At 37.8% G+C, this 22,817-nt stretch overlaps 1 protein-coding gene and 1 long non-coding RNA gene across 10 annotated transcripts in view; one reads left to right on the top strand and one right to left on the bottom strand.

Annotated features, from left to right (window-relative positions):
• The window catches only part of NIPAL2 (NIPA like domain containing 2), a 104,410-nt gene that overhangs the window by 7,861 nt on the left and 73,732 nt on the right, over positions 1-22,817 (top strand). The gene's annotated exons all lie outside the window — the stretch shown is intronic.
• LOC105375659 (uncharacterized) overlaps positions 1-22,817 on the bottom strand; it is a 50,787-nt gene that overhangs the window by 19,315 nt on the left and 8,655 nt on the right. Inside the window, exons 2-4 of the long non-coding RNA XR_007061023.1 lie at positions 5,286-5,433; positions 4,338-4,502; positions 2,536-2,772 (exon numbers count right to left, since the gene is read on the bottom strand). This is a non-coding gene — a long non-coding RNA (uncharacterized LOC105375659). The remainder of the gene's footprint in view (positions 1-2,535; positions 2,773-4,337; positions 4,503-5,285; positions 5,434-22,817) is intronic.

Below are 22,817 nucleotides of genomic sequence, written 5' to 3'. Positions count from 1 at the left end.
GCTTGGCAGGTCATACCAGGTCTGCATAAAATGAGTGTCTGGCTGCTTGCCTGTGGCCTCAGCACTGGTTCCCTAAATCAGCTTAGTCTTTTTTGAGCTGCTATAATAGTATACCACAGACTGGGTAATTGATAAACAATAGAAGTTTATTTGGCTCATGGTTCTGGAGGCTGAGAAGTCCAAGGTCCAGGGGCTGCATCTGGTAAGGGCCTTCTTGCTGTGTCATAACATGAGGGAAGGCATCACATGGTGAAAGAATGTGCAAGAGAAAGCAAGAGAGGGCCAAAGTTGCTTTTATAAGAAACCTACTCCAGAAACAAAGACATTAATCCGCTCATGAAGGCACAGCCCTCATGACCTCATCACCTCATAAAGGTCACACCTTCAATACTGTTGCATTGGAGATTAAGTTTCCAACACATGAACTTTGGGGGACACATTTAAACCATTTCATCACTTGACCCCACTTCACCTTCTTTGCAACTCTCAAATTGTTTCCTCCTTCAGGAACTTGGACTATTGACCTGATTTCTTTAGCTTGCAAGAGGAGTCAGTCTCTCTTCTGGTCTTTGAATTCGGCTTCCCTACCATGAATGCTTTGTAAGTTAAGAGGCTTTAGGTTGCAAGTTACAAAAAAAAAAGAAAGAAAGAAACTAACTTTAACTGACTTAAATAAGAAAAGAAAGTAATCCATTTGGATGATGTAAAAGGCCAGAAGAACTCTAGGTTCAGTCAAGCCTCCATCCAGGGGGGCTTTAAAAATATGGTGAATGCTCAGTTCCTCACTCTCATTTTCAACTTTTGTTCTTCAGGGTTGTTGGTTCCACTTTTAGCAGGCTCGCCCCTCTAGGGTACATACTTCCTTTCACCCCCCTGGAAGAAAGAGCTTGACTTTCTCAACCACTAGTGAAAAAACATGGGCTTTAGTCTGATTGGATGATGTTAAGACCATGTCCTGTCTCATACCAGTCGCCAAGGCTGGAGTTACCAGGCTTAGTGTTCCCAAAGCACATGGGCACCCTTGAGAAGGACTGGACACCCACCTGAAATAGGAGTCCTGTAAACAAGAGAAAGGGCACTGTATGCCCCAACAGCAATGTCCCCACAGGTGGGCTCAAGTCCTCCTCCTATGGATTTTTGTCTTCATGGGACACCCTTGGGCTAACACCACTCCCAGCTCACCCAGGACCTTTCATTTCTGTGTCCTGGCTCACATGAGCGGCTCCCCAGAATAACCCACTTACTCTGCCTTGTCTTTGTTGGTGGGACCTGAACAGTACTCTCCTTAGAAGCTTAGATTATAGGTTTAATTTCTGAAATATTTTCAAAAGCATCATCCCTAAGCAGTGACTATTTCCAAGTTCTAAATATATCTCTCCTTACCCCCAAGGAATTCTAGAAAGGCCTCTACTTATTCTTACTGATAGAAAAATTAAAGGGAATAAATGGCAAAGGTAGTGTCCTCTGCTTGGTCTCTATCTTGCTTCTTGCTTGGCAATTTCTCATCAACAAACACCTCTTCAGTAGGTAGGACAAGTTTAGTGCATTTAGCTGACTTAGGTTATGGTGTGAAAATATAATGCTGTATAGAGTCCTAGGGGTCATGTTAGCATTGTGAATATCTCATTCAAGTTTGAGGTGAATCCTGTGAATTCTGGGGGTCTTTATTTCCTCTTCAGCCTCTGGACTTGCAGGGCTCTGATCGTTCCAGGGCTGTTTTGGGGCTGTCTGCATTGTGTTCCCTCTTATCACAGCCCACATTAGGCTGGGTCAGTGAATCAATGAGGGTCCAAAATGTAACCAACATTCCATTCAAGAAAAACCGTAAGCAGAGAGGCCTTCTCTATAAGGCAGTGTTACCAAAGAGTCAGAAAACATGGACTATGACCTCAAAAAGTAGCTGTATTTTTTGTAATATACATTGTGTGTGTATGTGTGTGTGTGTGTGTGTGTGTGAGAGAGAGAGAGAGAGAGAATGCCTTAGAAATACTTGAAAAACATTTGAAAGAGTGGTTAGAAGTCACCTTCCTTATATAACCTGGTGAGCTATTTACATTAAACTTCCAGAACTAACATGGTACTGTTTTGTGATTGTGAACAAGAGAGCCAAAGCAGAAGAGGAAACATTGTGATATACATTTGGATATGGCCGCTGGAGTCACAATGGTAGAGAAATGGGCAGTTTGACCCAAATGACAATTGCCATCAGTGAATCGTGTGGGTGTCATATGAGCATTGACCATGAGCTGTGTTGGGACCTGGCTGCTATGCCAGTAGGATGTGAGGCTTTTGCCAGGAATAGTGGGCTTGGGGATGAGGAAATTAGCCTGGCTGTGAGGATTGGCCCTTTAGAGGTTGTGAAGAGCCCAAGTCACAATGTCTAAGGGGTATAGCACACTTGAACTTGATTGTCTGCCTCGATTTCAGAAAGGTCTAATCTGGTGGGTGGTGAGGGCCTCAGGAGTCTCTGGCAGAGATCAGTGAGTGAGTGGCAACATCATCACAATCCCTCCCCATATCAAGGCAGAAACTCACCCAGTGGCTGATACTTGATATAGGCTGTAGAGTTTAGTCTTTGGGGAAAGATGCTGACAAAATACTGTTGGAGTTCAAGGCAGGCATTGCTCCCAAATAGAGTATGCACTCCGGAAACCCAGGCAGGTGTGGGGTAGAGCATTGCAGCTGACAGAGCTCACAGCATCCAGCTTTTGCAGAGGAAGCCTTGTTCCAAACCTGGGCTGGGCCTGCAAAAGGTGGCCTGCAATCCTGCTTCTTTGGAAACAAAGGATTATGGGTTGTTAAAACTATTATAATAAACATGTTCTTGTAAAACATGAAAATTATAAGGCCCTATATTGACCTGGACATAGACAGTGGCATTCTTTGTGTTCAGCATGTCTGTTTTTGTTTCAAAAATTTCCTCCCCAATATTATACAGGATTAAGCTGTTTTGTAATAGAACCAAGTTTAAGACTTCCTTAACTGGAATCTCACCTTTTCTTGACTATTGTTGCTCTCCATTTGACAAAGTGTTAAAAGCCCTCAAAGGGTGTGTTATTAAATGTATTGCTTTTTCCATAAATTTGCTCTGCTGAGACTTACATTTCTCAGAAATGAAAAAACCTGGTGGCTTCTTAGTAAAACTCAGGCTTATTCTTAATGAAATTTTGTTTTTAAAAACAAAGAATGTACAATTATATAAATAAATGTGTTCCCTAGTAAAAGACAAATGTAATCGTTCTTAATTGCATGGGAAGGCAATATGTTGGGGTTTTCTGCCTAGGCTTTAAGGTTGATTAAAAATTGGCATGAAACAGCTTGTAGAATAGCAATGATGTACTGTGTTATGTAACCCTGAGCCTTTATGTTGGCTTTTAAATAACCCGATTTGGATCTGGTGTTGTACAGCTTTCTCAGGATAGGGACACAACAACCCAATAGCATACAATAACCAAGATAACAAATTAAAAATCTGCTCCTGACTGAAAATTTTTCTTTCTTCTTTTTCACATATAGGATTATAGTTTTAACTCGGTTTGTGTTAGTATTGCAGACAACTCAATTATCTACAAGAACAAAGGAGATTAGTGGTAAAAATAGCACAACCCACCCAGTAATCTAAAAAGCATTACCGTAGTTCAGATTGTCTCCAATGTTTGCTGCTATGAATATTGTTTCTTTTTTCTTTTCTTTTTTGTTTTTAGAGACAGGGTCTCACTCTGTTGCCCAGGCTGGATGCAGTGGTACAATCATAGCTCACTGCAGCCTCAAACTGCTGGGCTGAAGTGATCTTCCCACCTCAGTCTCCTGAGTAGCCGGGACTACAGGTGCGTGCCACCACGCCCAGCTGGTATTGTTTCTTTAGGACCCTGTTTTAATTAACTATCCTCATTGCCCCTACTTCTTGTCTGAACTCCTAGATCTATCTCCTGCTTGGTCTTCCTGTTCCCTGGTCTCCTTGCCAGTCCATCCTCCACACTGCAGCTAGGATGAGTCTTCCAAAAGCCAAACCTGGACTTATCCTTCTCTAGTTTGTATCTTTGTGTTCTTTGAGTTCTTTGTGTCTTAGCACCGCCTACGGATCCGTGGCACAGAACATCTCCTGCTTGCCTCTCCAGACCAGCTATACTGCAGTCCTCTGCTTTCAGGCCTGCAGGGCCCCTTGTTTGCTGCACCTTGGGCCCCTGTACTTGCCCTGCCCTTTGCCGGAATGCACTCACCCTGGTGAGATATCACCCTGCGAGGCTTCCCTAACTCCATCCCTGGAGTAGGCTGAACAAAGATCCCCCAGCAAAAGATATCTGCATCTAGATCCCAAAGTCTTCTTTGAATGTTACCTTGCCTGGCAGAAAGAGGGCTTTGCAGATGTGATTCAAGTAAGGATCTTGAGATGGAGAGAGTGTCCTGGCTCACCCAGGTGGGCCTAAATGCCATCACAGGTATCCTCCTGACTCTTTGATTTCAGCCCAATAAAGTTGAATTTGGACTTCTAGCCTCCAGAACTGTGAGAGAATAAATTGTGTTATGTTAAGCCACCATGTTTTGTGGTAATTTGGTACAACGGCCACAGCAAACAAGTACAGTCCCTACCCTAGACAGATTTGTACTCTGTCTTCTCTATTCCCTGGGGTTTTGCGGAGCACACCTCTATTAGAGATTGAACAGGCTGTGCTCTGCTTGTTAGTGGTTGCTTTCTCTACTTCTTCTCAGCTTCCCTTTTAAAATTTTTTAATTTTTAATTTTTGTGGGTGCCTATTAGGTACACATATTTATGGGGTACATGAGATATCTTGATACAGGCATGCAATGTTTAATAATCACGTCATGGAGAATGGGGAATCCATCCCCTCAAGCTTTTATAATTGCGTTACAAACAATCCAATTATACTCTTAGTTATTTTTAAAGGCACATTTAAGTTATTATTGGCTGTAGTCACCCTGTTGTGCTATCAAATAGTTGATCTTACTCATTCTTCCTGTTTTTTGTACCCATTAACCATCCCCACCTCACCGCCCCCTACCCCAGTACCCTTCCCAGCATCTGGTAACATCCTTCTACTCCTTCTGAGCTTCTTGGGGGTACTTTGCATCCTTGATTCCTGACATAGGACCTAACATTTAGCAGTTGCTGAATGAATACCAAATGGATGCATGACTGAATGGATAACATCCTGATGTGAGCTTGCTGAAGTTGTCTGTCCCCTACATCTCTCCTCTTCTCTCTAATCACTTTCATTTCATGTCCTTTCCCTCTACATAGTGTGTTTTTCTCAAGCAGTGCCTACATGCGGTCTTCAGTTGCGCAATGGTTTTATTTTTCTCCTTAACATCTTTTCTTGGTTCTGCCAGCTTCCTTTTCATTTCTTCTCTTGTTATCATCTCCTCTTAACTCTATTTTTAAATAAATCCATCTTCTCCTTAATTTCACTGAGCCTGCAAAGGAGGGTGTATTTAAAATTTTTTAGCTTGGAAAATTTTAAACCTATAGAAAAGTAAAAAAGAGTAGTACAATAAATACCATATGTCCCTCACCTGGAGATTCACCAATTGTTAACATTGTGAAATATTTGTTTCTCTCGCTTTCTCTCTCTCTCTCTCTCTCTCTCTCTCTCTATATATATATATATATATATATATAGTAATGGACTATTTGAAAGTCAGAGGCACATGTTATAAATCTTTACCCCTAAATGCTTAAAGATGTATCTCTAAGAGTTTGGATGTCTTCTTGTCCTGTCCTAACTGTCCTGGAGAGATATCATGTGCCTACCTGTCTACTGGGTACAAATGCAAAACAACTCCAGCTCATTCCTAAGAGTTCACCATGAAATGGGGTGAGCTGAACACCCATGTCTCAGACACGTCCCCTGGTGTGTACAGGCCATTACAGTCATTTCTGCAGTAATTAGTTGACCTAAATCACTCAATCTGTACTATTGCTGATACAAGACACTAGATCTCATTTCCAGTTCATGCATGTTTTATTGCCAGGAACAAGAGATAGCATTATTCCAGTTGTGAGTTGCATACAAAGCGTTATTCCAGTTGTGGGTTGCATACAACCATTACTGTGTTCAAAACGAGCTCAGAATCTGTGGTGCTTTTCTGCCATGTACTAGCTCCACTGGGATCTGATTTTGAATTTATGGTTTGAAGACAGAGCCAGGAATATGGTTGAGTTCAAAGCCAGAGCTGGGACAGATCACCAATTCCACACACCCCTGTATTACCATATCCTGTCTCCATACGGCCAAATCACTGCTTTCGCTCCACAATGGATTACAGGTCAATAACACAGTACTACAGGTCAATTTGAAATATCTAAAGATCATTCTGGCTAATAAAAGTAGGATAGAAAATTGTTATTCCAAATACAATTAAAATATCTGAATACTTATCAATGCTGCTATTTTGAACCTCATTCTATATAAATTGTATGCTGTGGCTGCCACCACGTATTTGCCAAGACATCCTGGAAAAGCCAGAAATTACGCTGCAGTGGTGACAACAGTGAGCACTGCAGACATTAATTAAAGACATCTTCCTGTGTTTTGGCCTCTACTTATAACTACATTATTAAGATGTGGAACAACCTTTCCTCCTAACTATTGTCATTGCTTTATTTCATTTGTATTGAGAAAAAGAAACAAATTCTGCTAATTAAAAAATTGTGGTACATTGACATTGACTAGCCAAAAAGTTATCTATTGCATTCTGCAGATAAATAGTGATTCAGACTTGACCTGGGTGCCTTGGGCTCAAAATTTGGCTGCTATCTAGCTGTGTGACTTTGCATAAGACACTTTCCTTCTCTGGCTCTGTTCTCTTCCCTGACCAGTGAAAGGACAGGGAAGTGGGGGAGTAGAAGAAAGAGAAAACAAGAGAAAGAGAGAGATGTTTAAACTTCCATTAATTCTAAAATGTTAGAAAAAGAGATAATGTGCTGAATAAGTAATGATGTAAACTAGACATTTTTAATCTAATGTAATGGGAAGTTTCTAAGGGCCTGCTCAATGTATGCAAATGATACTTCTGATTGCAGGAATTTGTAGTCATTAAAGTACATTTACCAGAGCTTGTAATTGGAAGCAGTATTTAGTAATGGTTACCTCAAGTTACTGTATGTCTTTGAAGGTAATCAAACCACCATCTTTTAAAAGCATTGCAAATTTGAAGTTTTCCTCCCCAGTAATTAGGGGAGTTAATGAGGATTTACTGTGTTACTACCATTCAAAGAAATGTATTAAATAAATTTAATAAGCATGCAATCAACCTTGAATAATTAGACAAAATTTCAGAAAAAATATAGAATAAGATGTATCAGTTTATACAGAGGATTATCAGGAAACTTTCTGACAGCTGCTTTATACCAATATGTTTCTTGCTTTTTTTAGTATAATTCAAATTCACTAGATTTTAAAAGTCAGCAAGTAGCTTTTTACTACACTTTTAATTGTTGAAATCTGAACTCTGGGACAAATTTTGCTCTCACAGAAACTGTGTGTTTGGTATATTCAAACCTCGGTTATTATAAAATAGTTACTCACTGAGATCCTTCTAGTGCCAAAGGTCAAAATGTCCTATTTCTAGACAGTTTATATTTGATCCGATAGTTTAGTTCAAATGGTATTTAATAAACAATGTCTCTGTGCCAGGTCTATACTAGTCATTAGGGTTTAAAAGATGAGTTGGTGTGTAAGTCACAGCTCTGCCTTCAAGGAGCTTATAGTCTAGTGGAGAAATGGCCTTGTAAAAATTAATTGCAGTATTGTATAATACATGTCCTGATAGAAATATGTAAGACTCAATTCAGAAGAGGGAAGTCAGGAAAGGTAAACTGGAAGATGGATCTAAGGAAATTATGCAGAATTCAGTACAAAGGGATAAAGAGTTAGAAAATATAGAAGAGATCTTAGGAAACAAGGGGTTAGAATGAAAAGACCTAATGTATAAGAGGAGTTCCATATGGAGAAGAAAGAGAGAACAAAGGGTAGATGACATTTAAAGGGATAATGGTGGAGAGCTTAACAGAATTAGTGAAGACATGAATCCTCAAATTGAGGAAGCATGAGTCCCAAACAAAACCTAAATCACATATACAGAAACTGTAGTAAAATTGCAAAAACAAAACAAACAAACAAACAAACAAAAAACCATGATAAAGAAAATCTTAAAAGCATTCTGAGAAAAATAACAGATTGCCTACAAAGGAGCAACAATTAGACTAACAACCTACTTATCAACAACAACAATAAGGGCCAGAAGTCAACAGAATAATAACATCAAAGTGCTGAGTAAAATTACTGTCAGCCTATACTTCTCTACTCAAGAGGAAAGATGAAGATATTTGCAGAGTGACAGAGAGTTTGCAATTCAAAGAATTTTATTGAAAGAGCTACTAAAGTTTTCTTCAGGAAGAAGGACACTGAAGCCAGAAGAAAAAAAATAAGATGCAAGAACATAATATCCAAAACATGAAAACAACCCAAATATCTATCAACGGATGAATGGATAAATAAAATGTAGTATGTTCTTGCAATGGAATATTACATAGCCATAAAAAGAAATAGTACATGCTCTAGAGGTGATACATACTGGTACATGCTACAATGTGATGAGTCTTGAAAACATTATGCTAAGTAAAAGAAACCAGGCATAAAAGGCCACATACTATATGAGTCCATTTATATAAAATGTCCAGAATAGGCAAATTCATACAGACAGAATGTAAATTGATGGCTGCCATGGACTGTGGGGAGGAGGGAATGGGAAATGACTGCTAATGGCTATGGAGTTTCTTTTTGAGGTGATGAAAATATTCTTTTTTGGTTTTTTTTTGAGACAGATTCTCACTCTGTCGCCCAGGCTGGAGTGCAATGGTGCGACCCCAGCTCACTGCAACCTCTGCTTCCCAGGTTCAAGCGATTCTCCCATCTCAGCCTCCCAACTAGCTGGGACTATAGACATGTGCCACCATGCCCAGCTAATTTTTTGTATTTTTTATTAATAGTAGAGACAGAGTTTCATCATGTTGGCCAGGCTGGTCTGGAACTCCTGACCTCAAGTGATCCACCCACCACAGCCTCCCAAAGTCCTGCAATTACAGGCTTGAGCCACTGTGTCCGCCCAGGTGATGAAAATATTCTGAAATTAGATCGCGGTGATGGCTGCACAACTGTATGAGTATATTAAAAACTATTGAGTTGTACACTTTAAGAGGCTGAACATTGTGGAATGTAAATTATATCTCAATAGAGCTGTTATTTAAAATAAGAACAGTGGTGAGCAAGAAATGGGTAAACATGGGCTGGGTATACTGGCTCACGCCTGTAATCCCAGCACTTTGGGAGGCCAAGGCGAGCAGATCACTTCAGGTCAGGAGTTCAAGACCAGCCTGGCCAACAGGGTGAAACCCCGTCTCTACTAAGAATACAAAAATTAGCCGAGCATGGTGGCATGCACTAGTTCCAGCTACTCAGGAGGCTAAGGCAGGAGAATTGGTTGAGCCTGGGAGGTGGAGGTTGCAGTGAGCCAAGATCGCGCAACTGCACTTCAGCCTGGGCAACAGAGTGAGACTGTCTCAAAAAAAAAAGAAAAAAGAAAAGAAAAAAAAAAGAAAGAAAGAAATGGGTAAACATGGATAAGTAAGGCAAGCATTGACTGTATGGAACAATAATAATGACCAGGAACTCTTATTCATTGCTAGTGGGAATGCAGGTATAGCCACTTTGGAAGACAGTTTGGCAGTTTCTTACAAAACTAAACATTCTCTTACCAGACAATTCAGCAACCTTGGTATTTACCCACAGGCACTGAAAACGTATGTCTGCACAAAAGCCTGCACATGGATGTTTATAGCAGCTTTATTCATAATTACCAAAATTTGGAAGCAACCAAGGTGTCCTTCAGTAGCTGAATAGATAAACTGTGGTACATCCAGATAATGGAATATTATCAAGCCATGAAAAGACATAGAAGAAGTTGAAATGCATATTACTAAGCAAAAAAAGTGAATCTGAAAAGGCTACATACTATATGATTCCAACTATATAATATTTTAGAAAAGACAAAACTATAGAGACAGTAAAAAGATCAGTGGTTGCTAGGGGTTGTGGGTAGGAAGGGATGAATAGGCAAGCACAGAGGATTTTTAGGGCAGTGAAACTATTCTGTATGATATTATAATGGTGGATACATGTCATTGTACATTTACCAAAACCAATAGAGCATGAAAAACTAACAGTGAACCCTAATGTAAACTATGAACTTTGGGTGATGATGATGTTTCAATGTAGGCTCATGAAATGTAACAAATGTATTACTCTTGATTCATGAGAATGGGAAAGGCTGTGCATGTGTGGCAGCAGGGAGAAAATAGGAAATCTGTACCTTCCTCTCAATTTTGCTGTGAACCTAAAACTGCTCTAAAAAATAATACTGGTTAAAAAATAATGATAATCATGACTAGTTTGAGGATATAAATACAAGGTAGAACTGATACACTAGTCAGCAACATATGAGATAGGACAGAAGAAAGATTGTAGTTAAAACAAATGGAAGCTTTTATAATGCTCAGGAGGCTGGAAATATTGATTAACTTTACAATTTATGTCAAGAATGCAGATAAATTAGTGGAGAAACTGGATCACTCATATATTGCTGATGGGAAAGTAAAATTGTACAACTCTGAAAAATAGTTTGGCAGTTCCTTTCAAAACTAAAAATGGACTTACCACACAAACCAGCAATTACACTTTCGGGCATTTATCCCAGAAAATGAAGATTTATTTTCATGTAGAATTTGTACACGAATGTTCATAGAAGCTTTGTTCAAAACAGCCCCAAACTGGAAACTACTCAAAAGTCATTCAATGAGTGAATAATTAAACAAACTGTGGCATATCCATACCATGGAATACTACTCAGCAATGAGAAGGAATGACCCAACAGCTTAGATGAGACTCAGGGAAATTATGCTTAGTGAAAAAAGGCAACTTCAAAAGTACACATACTTCTAGATTCTAGGTATGTAACAATATTTTTGAAATAACATAGAAATGGAGAATGGATTGGATTGTGGTTGGTAGGGGTTAGGAATGGTGAGGGAAAGAGGATATATCTATAACGGGGTAATACAAGGGAGTCTTATGGTGATGGTACAGATGCATATTGTGATTGTGGCAGTGGTTACACACACACACACAAATGGGTTCATATATAATTGGTGAAATCTAAATAAGGTATTTACCAATGCCAGTTTCTTGGTTTTGATATTTTACTGTAGTTGTGTAAGATGTTAACATTTAGGGAGGGCAGTTAGAGGAAATATGCCTGGGAACCCCCTATACATTTATTTGCAACCTACTATGAATCCATAATTATTTCAAAATTAAAGGTTTAAAAAAATAGCAGTACTTACTAAAATAATAGAAATAAGATGTATAACTTCCTAACCAGAAGAGTGAGAGCAGAGGGAGGGATAAAGAACACTCAACCAATTCTAACAGGATATAGGAAAGAAGAAATTGGGATGCAAAGGAAAACCAAGATAACTACAAATACAGACACACACAAAAGATAGTAGAAATAAATGAAACTATGTTGACAATCACAATAAGTGTAAATGGACTAAGTTTCCCATTTGACAGAAAATTTCAGTTTAAAAAATCTAGTTATTTTCTATATATAAGAGATCCAACTAAAATGTAATGACAAAGAAATGTTGAAAGTAAAGTGATGGAGGAAGAGGAAATATCAAAAGAGTGATTATATTATATTAATATCAGATAAAATAGACTTTAAAACAAAAACATTATTGAGATTAAAGAGTCATACTGATAAAAGGAACAATTAACTGAGGAGATAAAATAATCCTGAACTTGTACATACCTAACAGTATAGCCTTAAAATATGTAATTCAAAATTCAGCAGATTTAAAAGGAAAAAAAGTCTAAAGCCATATTTGTGGTAGATTTTTAATATATCTCACTTGGCAACTGATAGACAAAGCAGTCCAAAATTTAGTAAGATTGTTGAAGATTTGAGCAATGTATTAATGGAGATAGATGGGATGGATGGGTGGATGGATAGATAGATAGATAGAGAGATAGATAGATAGATAGATGATAGAATATGTAGAATATATATATAATGTTAACAACTAAATACTTTCTTTTCAAGCATACATGGAAACTTATAAAACTTGATCACATGCTACCTGGTCACAAGACAAATTTCTGTTTATACCATGTATTAGGTCATAAAGCAAATGTTGATTCACACACAGCACATTTCTGACCCAAACTCAATAAATTAGAAATAATTTAATAAAATTAGAAATAATTAAAGTGGCAACCAACTTCATTTGGTTGATAACCAACTACCTCATTCACTTAGAAACTTTTTCAGAAAACATACTTTTGAATAATATGGAGGCTCAGATGAAAATCATGAGATAATTAGAAACTATTTAGAACTAAATGACAATGACTATGTACGTCCAAACTACACATGAAGCTGAGACAGACAGTGTACTTAGAGGGAAATGTATAGTGGTACTTTCATATATTATTAGATAAGAAGAAAGGGAAAAAGCTAATGAGTTAAGAGTCCAAATGAACAAGATGAAAACGGAAAAATTGAGTTAACAAAATAAAGATAATAAAAATCTAAGGAAGAAATATATTTATTAAATATATCAACCTCAGAAAATTACGTATCTCTGAGAGGGAGAAGAGACTGAAATAGCAATAGCTACATTTGTAGTATCTTGTTTCTTTGGACAAATATCTCTATCTACCTATAGTGTTTTTTAAAGTATTCTATTTTCAGTAACAACTTTATTGAAATGTAATTCACATACCATAAAATTCACTCATTTAAAGTGTACAATCTTTCGGTTTTTAGTATATCACAAAGTTATGCAACTATCACCACAATTAATTTTAGAACATTTTATCACCTCAAAAAGAAACCCCCTCACCCTTTAGCTGTCATCCCCAAGCCCCTCATTCATCCCAGCCCTAAGAAAACCCCTGATTTATTTTCTGTCTCTACAGATTTGTTATTCTGGACATTTAATATTAATAGAATCATATAATTTGTGATCTTTTGTTACTGAATTCTTCCACTTAGCATAAACTTTTCAAAGTTCATCTAGGTTGTAGCATGTACCAGTACTTCACTCCCTTTTATGGCTGAATAATCTTCCATTATATAAAATGTATCACATTTGTTTATTCATTCATCAGCCAATAGACATTTGGTCATTTCCACTTTGGGGCACTAGGAATAACGGTGCTATGGATATTTGTGTACAAGTTTTTATGTGAACATATGCTTTATTTCTCTTGGATCATTTCTTCTCTGTAATGATAACCTTTTTATGGACACTTTCAATCCTTTGTTTATCCCAAATATCACTGTGGAGTTTTGTAGTGGTAGTTAATATCACAATGATATTGAGCATTATTGAAATATTCCTGGAAAAAATAAGCATTTCCTTGGTTTTCAGACATCATAAGTTTATGACTCTATTTCAAGTGGTTTTTTGATTCTATAGAATTGTGTAAAATAGCACACAGTTATAAAAAATTAGCCAGGCATTGTGCCACGCGTCTGTAGTCACAGTTACTCGGGAGCCTGAGACAGGAGAATTGTTTGAACCCGGGAGGTGGAGATTGCAGTGAGCCAAGATTGTGCCACTGCACTCCAACCTGGGCGACAGAGTGAGACTCTGTCTCAAAAAAAAAAAAAAAAGATAGCACACACTATGATGCTTTTTCTAAACTGGTGTTAAGAACAAACGCATTAATTGTATTGAAACTGTTTCTTAATACACTACATTAACCAGTAATAATATTTTAAATAATAGGCCATTTCTAATAGTCTAAAATATTTATGCATTTTATCAAATGAAATTAAACAAGTTAACTGGTATTCAATAAATCTCCCTTCCTTTTTCCACACCTCAGTCTATGATTATACATTTAACCACAATTTTTCGCAGCACAGTCTTATCCAGTTCCATTATTGGGGATGCAAAGATGAGTAAGGAATGAAAACAGGACAAAACCTCCGCTCTTGATGATCTTCATTTAGCCAGAGAGAAGTAAGAAAAGAGTTAACATCAATCATGAGGTCCTGGAAGGAAGATAAGCTCTGAAGTCAAATAGACCTGGGATCCACCAGTAATGATGGAAATTTAGAAGGTAACTTAAACCTCTCAGGTTCAGTTTCCTCATCTATAGGAAGCGAATACAAATCATTACAAATACTAGCAAACTGAATCCAGCAGCACACCATAAAATTAATTCACCATGATCAAATGGGCTTTATTCCTGGGGTGCAAATTTGGTTCAACATACTCAAATCAGTAAATGTGATTCACCACATAAGCAGCATTAAAAACAAAACAGACATGATCATCTCAATAGACGTAGAATAAGCTTTTGATAAAATTTAACATCATTTCATGACAAAAAAAAAAAACTCTCAACAAACTAGGCACCAAAGGAACATACCTCAAAATAATAAGAGCCATCTATGACAAATCCACAGCCAATATCATGCTAAATGGGCAAAAACTGGAAGCATTCCCCTTAAGAACTGGAACAAGACAGAAATGCCCACTCTAACCACTCCTATTCAACATAAAAGTCCTATCCACAGCAATCAGGCAAGAGAAAGAAATAAAGGGCATCCAAATAGGAAAAGAGGAAGTTAAATTATCTCTCTTCACTGACGATATGACTCTATACTTAGAAAACCCTAACAACTCTGCCAAAAGGCTCCTTGACCTGATAAATGACTTCAGTAGAGTTTCCAGATACAAAATTCACAAAAAATCATAGCATTTCTATGCACCAACAATGTTCAAGCTAAGAGCCAAATCAGGAACACAATCTCATTTACAATAACCACACACAAAAATAAAATACCTAGGAATACATCTAACTAAGGAGATGAAAGATCTCTACAAGGAGAACTACAAAATACTGCTGAAAGAAATCAGAGATGACCCAAATAAATGGAAAAATATTCCATGTTCATGGATTGGAAGAATCAACATCGTTGAAATGTCTATCCTGGCCAAAGCAATCTATAGATTCTATACTATTCCTATCAAATTACCAATGTCATTTTCCACAGAATTAGAAGAAACTGTTCTAAAATTTATATGGTACCAAAAAAGAGCCTGAATAGCCAAAGCAATCTTAAGCAAAAAGAACAAAGCCAGAAGCATCACCTTACCCAACTTCAAACTATACTAGAAGGCTATAATAACAAAAACAGCATGATACTGGTACAAAAATAGACATATAGACCAATGGAACATAATAGAGAGCCCAGAAATAAAGCAGCTTACCTACAACCAACTGATCTTTGACAAAGTCGACAAAAGCAATGGAGAAAGGACTTCCTATTCAATAAATGGTTCTGGAAAAACTGGCTAACCAAATGCAGAAGAATAAAACTGCACCTCTCCCTCTCACCATATAAACAAATTACCTCAAGATGGATTAAATATTTAAATGTAAGACCTCTCAAACTATAAAAAGCATGAGAAGAAAACCTAGGAAATACCCTTCTGGAAATTGGCCTAGGCAAAGAATTTTGACTGAGTCCTCAACAGCAATTGCAACAAAAATAAAAATTGACAGATGGGACCTAATTAAGCTAAAGAGCTTCTGCACACCCAAAGAGACTATCAACAGAATAAAAAACCTATAGAAAGAAAAAAATACTTGCAAACTATGCATCTGACAAAGATGTATTAGTCTAGAGATTTTGAACTAATATCCAAAATCTATAAGGAACGTATACAAATCAACAAGCAAAAACCAAATAATCCCATTGAAAAGTGAGCAAAGAATATAACAGACACTTCTCAAAAGACATTCAAGTGGCTAACAAACACGGAAAAAATGCTGAACATCACTAATCATCAGGGAAATGCAAATGAAAACCACAATGAGATACCATCTCATACCAGTCAGAATGGCTATTATTAAAAAGTAAAAAAACAACAGATGCTGGTGAGGCTGTGGAGAAAAATAAACACTTATGTATGGTTAGTGGGGATGTAAATTGTTCAGCCCCTGTGGAAAGCAGTTTGGAGATTTCTCAAAAAACTAAAACTAGAACTACCATTTCACCCAGCAATCCCATTACTGGGTATATACCCAAAGGAAAATAAATTGTTCTACCAAAAAGATGCATGCACTCACATGTTCATTGCAGCACTATTCACAATAGCAAAGACATGGAGTCAATCTAGGTGCCCATCAACAGTAGACTGGATAAAGAAAATATGGTGCATACACCATAGAATATTATGCAGCCATAAAAAAAGAATGAAATCATGTCCTTTGCAGCAGAATGGATTCAGCTGGATACTGTTATCCTAAGCAAATTAACACAGAAACAGAAAACCAAATACTGCATGTTCTCACTTATAAGTGGAAGCTAAAATCTTGTGTATACATGGACATATAGTTGGGAACAATAGACACTGGGAACTCTGGAGGAGGGAGGGGGCAAGAGTTAAAAAAACTGCCTATTGAGTACTATATTCACTGTCTAGACGACAGGATCAATACGAGCCCAAATCTCAGCATCTTGCGAACATACCCTTCTAACAAATCTGCACATGTACCCCCTGAATCTAAAAGAAAAATGGAAATAAATAAATAAAGCTACAGTAACCAACAACAGCAACAAAAACAATAACCAAAAATAACAATAATCTACTTTACCTGTACTCCAGAAATGGAACATCTAAGCCTGGATGACAGCGCATCTGTTTATGGCATGGTTTACTTAATATTTTAAACCCGCCATTGAGACCTACTGCTCAGAAAAAGACATTCCTCTGAAAATATTACTGCTCATTGACAATGCATCTGGTCACCCAAGAGCTCTTATGGAGATGTACAAGGAGATGAATGTTGTTTTCATGCCCACTAACACAACATCCATTCTGCAGCCTATGGATCAATGAGTAGTTTTGACTTTCAAGTCATATTAGTTAAAAAATACATTTTGTAAGACTATAGCTGCCATAAATAGTGATTCCTCTGATGGATCTAGCCAAAATAAATTCTGGAAAGGGTTCACCATTCCATATGCCTTTAAGAACATTTGTAATTCATGGGAGGAAGTCAAAATATCCACCCTCACAGGAATTTGGAAGAAGTTGATTCCAACCCTCGTGGTTGACTTGGAAGGGTTCAAGACTTAGTGTAGGAAGTAACTGCAGATGTGGTGGAAATAGCAGGAGAACTAGAAGTGGACCCTGAAGATGTCATTGAATTGCTGCCATCTCATGATCAAACTTGAATGGAGGAGGAGTTGCTTTTTATCGATGAGCAAAGAAAGGGGTTTCTTAAGATGGAATCTTCTTCTTGTGAAGATGCTGGGAATATTGTAGAAATGACTCAGTGTAGGTTCAGATGATAATTAGCATTTTTGGTAATAAAATATTTTTTAATTAAAGTATGTCTAACATTTTTAAACATAATGCTATTGCAGTATGTTTATTAAGTGTAGGTTACACTATACTTAATAAACTACAGTGTAGTGTAAACACGACTTTTGTATGCACTGGGAAACCAAAGACTTTGTGTGACTCACTTTATTGTGGTGGTCTGGAACCAAACCTGCAATATCTCTGAGGTAAGCCTGTATAATTTTGCTCATTCCTACTTTATTTTGTGGGGTTTTTTTCTTTCTTCTTGTTTTTTTTTTTTTTCTTTGAGACAGTCTTGCTCTGTTGCCCAGGCTGGAGTGCAGTGGTGCAATTTTGGCTCACTGCAACCTCCACCTCTCGGGTTCAAGCAATTCTCCTGCCTCAGCCTCCCAAGTAGCTGGGATTAAAGACATGCACCACCATACCCAGCTAATTTTTATATATTTAGTAGAGATGGGGTTTCACCATGTTGGCCAGGCTTGTCTTGAACCCCTGACCTCAAGTGATCTGCCCACCTCAGCCTCCCAAAATGCCGGGATGACAGGCATGAGCCACCGCACCCTGCCTTGACCCTACTTTGAACTCGTGGTAATTATTGGACCTGCCACCAGACATTGTTTCTATTGTGTTAGTAAAGACACACATATATTACCAAAAAAAATGCATCATAAGTATTCAAGGAGAAATAGTATAGGGTATCCTTTGATAGATGAGAAGGGCTAGGAAAGACTCAACTAAGGTGATATCTACCTTCAGCATTCTTTATGAAAAGAAATTATTTGTATTCAATTATCTCTGCCCACTTGTTTCTGCTCACTAATTTAAAAACATGTGATTCACTCAGGTACAGTTTATGGTTGCTCTACCTCTGTTAATTATTGTATAATATTCAGAACTAGACTCGGACTGAAGAAAGGACAATCTTCTTTTCGTGGTTTCTTAGGACGTGAAGTTGAACTCCCACATGATTTTGACAACTATTATTTAATTGTGGGGAATGTGTATATGGCTAATTTTAAATCTCTAAATTTTTGCCTCATGTAGGTTCCAGGGGGTGGGGAACAAACTTCAAAGTTAATTCTAACTTCAGGAACTATAAAGTAAGTTTTATATTCAGGTCACTTTGAAATATGAGTAAATTTTATAATAACCCATAAGCTTATGGGGAAATGGTAAGAAAGGAAATATTATAAGGTGAGCTCTTTTAACCTTATAATGATGGCTTAAAAAGTTAAAATAATAAAATAGTATGATTGGCATTACTGATTAGAAAATATAGAATATTGGCCAGGTGCAGTGGCTCATGCCTATAATCCTAACACTTTAGGAGGCTGAGGCAGGAAGATCACTGGAGCCCAGGTGTTTGAGACCAGCCTGGGAAACATAATGAGACCCCATCTCTACAAAAATAGAAAAATTAGGTGGGTGTGGTAGCACACCTGTAGTCCCAGCTACTTGGGAAGATGAGGTGGAAGATTGCTTGAACCCAGAAGGTCAAAGCTGCAGTGAGCTGTCATCATACCACTGAACCCCACCTTGGGCAACAAAGTGAGACCCTGTTTCAAAAAAAAAAAAAAGGAAAATAGAATATCCCCTCTAGTTGTACCTACATCTGTAAGTCAAGTCGTTTTCTGAGAAAAATAAATAAAATGCTACATATTTTTATTTCTGGTTCTACAGCATTAAAAAAATTATAATTGGTAGTTTCTACCATCCCTCTATTAAGAAAACCAAAATATCACCTACATCTTACAAATATTTTCCATATTCATTGGATTTGGAAGACATTATTGAAAACAAAATGAATGTTGCAATAACATATCATAAAGTTGGTGCATACACCCTGAGGCAAAAAAAATGGGGAATAAAGAAACAGCAAAACCTTCATTTACTATGTCTGCCAAACAACAGGTTGGCAGTTTTTTTTTTTTAAAGGAACCATTTATATGATTGCTTTGTCATTTTAGATACAGATAAACAAAATAAAGCTTTATTATTACCTCTTAGTATCACCTTAGCCTATCACTTTGGATTACTAGCATGTTGCATCATAGTTTCATAAGCGGACCTCATTCATTTAGGTCTCCAAACTCCTTATGGTATTGTTTTCTTTCTTTATTTTTTTTTTAGCATTTACATGATTTTATTTCATTTCAAAATAAAATTGGTGTTTTTGCTCGCATGTGTAATGGTGAATTTCTGATCCTTTCAGAATTTTCAAGTGAATTCTGGCCCTCTTTGATCAGCCCATCCGCTTGAGGTCCATTTATTCTCTTACTGGGCACATTGTTGGATCACAGGATTTAGACATGGCCTTCACAATCTTTGAATGGCTTTTTTTTTTTTTTTTTGGAGACAGAGTCTTGCTCTGTTGCCCAGGCTGGAGTGCAGTGGTATGATCTCGGCTCCCGAGTAGCTGGGATTGCAGGTGCACGCTGCTATGCCTGGCTAATTTTTTATATTTTAGTAGAGACAGGGTTTCACTGTGTTGCCCAGGCTAGCCTCAAACTCCTGAGCTCAGGCAATCCGCCCATCTCAGCCTCCCAAAGTGCTAAGATTACAGGTGTGAGCCACTGCGTCCAGCCTAATATAACTTTTTTTTTTCATTTTCTTTTTTTTTTTATTATACTTTAAGTTTTAGGGTACATGTGCACATTGTGCAGGTTAGTTACATATGTATACATGTGCCATGCTGGTGCACTGCACCCACTAAGTTGCCATCTAGCATTAGGCATATCTCCCAATGCTATCCCTCCCCCCTCCCCCCACCCCACAACAGTCCCCAGAGTGTGATATTCCCCTTCCTGTGTCCATGTGATCTCATTGTTCAATTCCCACCTATGAGTGAGAATATGCGGTGTTTGGTTTTTTGTTCTTGCGATAGTTTACTGAGAATGATGTTTTCCAATTTCATCCATGTCCCTACAAAGGATATGAACTCATCATTTTTTATGGCTGCATAGTATTCCATGGTGTATATGTGCCACATTTTCTTAATCCAGTCTATCATTGTTGGACATTTGGGTTGATTCCAAGTCTTTGCTATCGTGAATAATGCCGCAATAAACATACGTGTGCATGTGTCTTTATAGCAGCATGATTTATAGTCCTTTGGGTATATACCCAGTAATGGGATGGCTGGGTCAAATGGTATTTCCAGTTCTAGATCCCTGAGGAATCGCCACACTGACTTCCACAATGGTTGAACTAGTTTACAGTCCCACCAACAGTGTAAAAGTGTTCCTATTTCTCTACATCCTCTCCAGCACCTGTTGTTTCCTGACTTTTTAATGATTGCCATTCTAACTGGTGTGAGATGGTATCTCATTGTGGTTTTGATTTGCATTTCTCTGATGGCCAGTGATGATGAGCATTTTTTCATGTGTTTTTTGGCTACACAAATGTCTTCTTTTGAGAAGTGTCTGTTCATGTCCTTCGCCCACTTTTTGATGGGGTTGTTTGTTTTTTTCTTGTAAATTTGTTTGAGTTCATTGTAGATTCTGGATATTAGCCCTTTGTCAGATGAGTAGGTTGCGAAAATTTTCTCCCATTCTGTAGGTTGCCTGTTCACTCTGATGGTAGTTTCTTTTGCTGTGCAGAAGCTCTTTAGTTTAATTAGATCCTATTTGTCAATTTTGGCTTTTGTTGCCATTGCTTTTGGTGTTTTAGACCTGAAGTCCTTGCCCATGCCTATGTCCTGAATGGTAATGCCTAGGTTTTCTTCTAGGGTTTTTATGGTTTTAGGTCTAACGTTTAAGTCTTTAATCCATCTTGAATTGATTTTTGTATAAGGTGTAAGGAAGGGATCCAGTTTCAGCTTTCTACATATGGCTAGCCAGTTTTCCCAGCACCATTTATTAAATAGGGAATCCTTTCCCCATTGCTTGTTTTTCTCAGGTTTGTCAAAGATCAGATAGTTGTAGATATGTGGCGTTATTTCTGAGGGCTCTGTTCTGTTCCATTGATCTATATCTCTGTTTTGGTACCAGTACCATGCTGTTTTGGTTACTGTAGCCTGGTAGTATAGTTTGAAGTCAGGTAGTGTGATGCCTCCAGCTTTGTTCTTTTGGCTTAGGATTGACTTGGCAATGCAGGCTCCTTTTTGGTTCCATATGAACTTTAAAGTAGTTTTTTCCAATTCTATGAAGAAAGGCATTGGTAGCTTGATGGGGATGGCATTGAATCTGTAAATTACCTTGGGCAGTATGGCCATTTTCACGATATTGATTCTTCCTACCCATGAGCATGGAATGTTCTTCCATTTGTTTGTATCCTCTTTTATTTCCTTGAGCAGGGGTTTGTAGTTCTCCTTGAAGAGGTCCTTCACATCCCTTGTAAGTTGGATTCCTAGGTATTTTATTCTCTTTGAAGCAATTGTGAATGGGAGTTCACTCATGATTTGGCTCTCTGTTTGTCTATTGCTGGTGTATAAGAATGCTTGTGATTTTTGTACATTGATTTTGTATCCTGAGACTTTGCTGAAGTTGCTTATCAGCTTAAGGAGATTTTGGGCTGAGACAATGGGGTTTTCTAGATATACAATCATGTCGTCTGCAAACAGGGACAATTTGACTTCCTCTTTTCCTAATTGAATACCCTTTATTTCCTTCTCCTGCCTAATTGCCCTGGCCAGAACTTCCAACACTATGTTGAATAGGAGTGGTGAGAGAGGGCATCCCTGTCTTGTGCCAGTTTTCAAAGGGAATGCTTCCAGTTTTTGCCCATTCAGTATGATATTGGCTGTGGGTTTGTCATAGATAGCTCTTATTATTTTGACATACATCCCATCAATACCTAATTTATTGAGAGTTTTTAGCATAAGGGTTGTTGAATTTTGTCAAAGGCTTTTTCTGCATCTGTTGAGATAATCATGTGGTTTTTGTCTTTGGCTCTGTTTATATGCTGGATTACATTTATTGATTTGCGTATATTGAACCAGCCTTGCATCCCAGGGATGAAGCCCACTTGATCATGGTGGATAAGCTTTTTGATGTGCTGCTGGATTCATTTTGCCAGTATTTTATTGAGGATTTTTGCATCAATGTTCATCAAGGATATTGGTCTAAAATTCTCTTTTTTTTGTTGTGTCTCTGCCTGGCTTTGGTATCAGAATGATGCTGGCCTCATAAAATGAGTTAGGGAGGATTCCCTCTTTTTCTATTGATTGGAATAGTTTCAGAAGGAATGGTACCAGTTCCTCCTTGTACCTCTGGTAGAATTCAGCTGTGAATCCATCTGGTCCTGGACTCTTTTTGGTTGGTAAACTATTGATTATTGCCACAATTTCAGATCCTGTTATTGGTCTATTCAGAGATTCAACTTCTTCCTGGTTTAGTCTTGGGAGAGT

The sequence above is a fragment of the Homo sapiens genome, chromosome 8, assembly GCF_000001405.40.
Source record: "Homo sapiens chromosome 8, GRCh38.p14 Primary Assembly".
NCBI classification, from domain to species: domain Eukaryota; kingdom Metazoa; phylum Chordata; class Mammalia; order Primates; family Hominidae; genus Homo; species Homo sapiens.
Note: the sequence above shows the minus strand (reverse complement) of the source record. Positions and strands in the feature narration are given on the sequence as shown.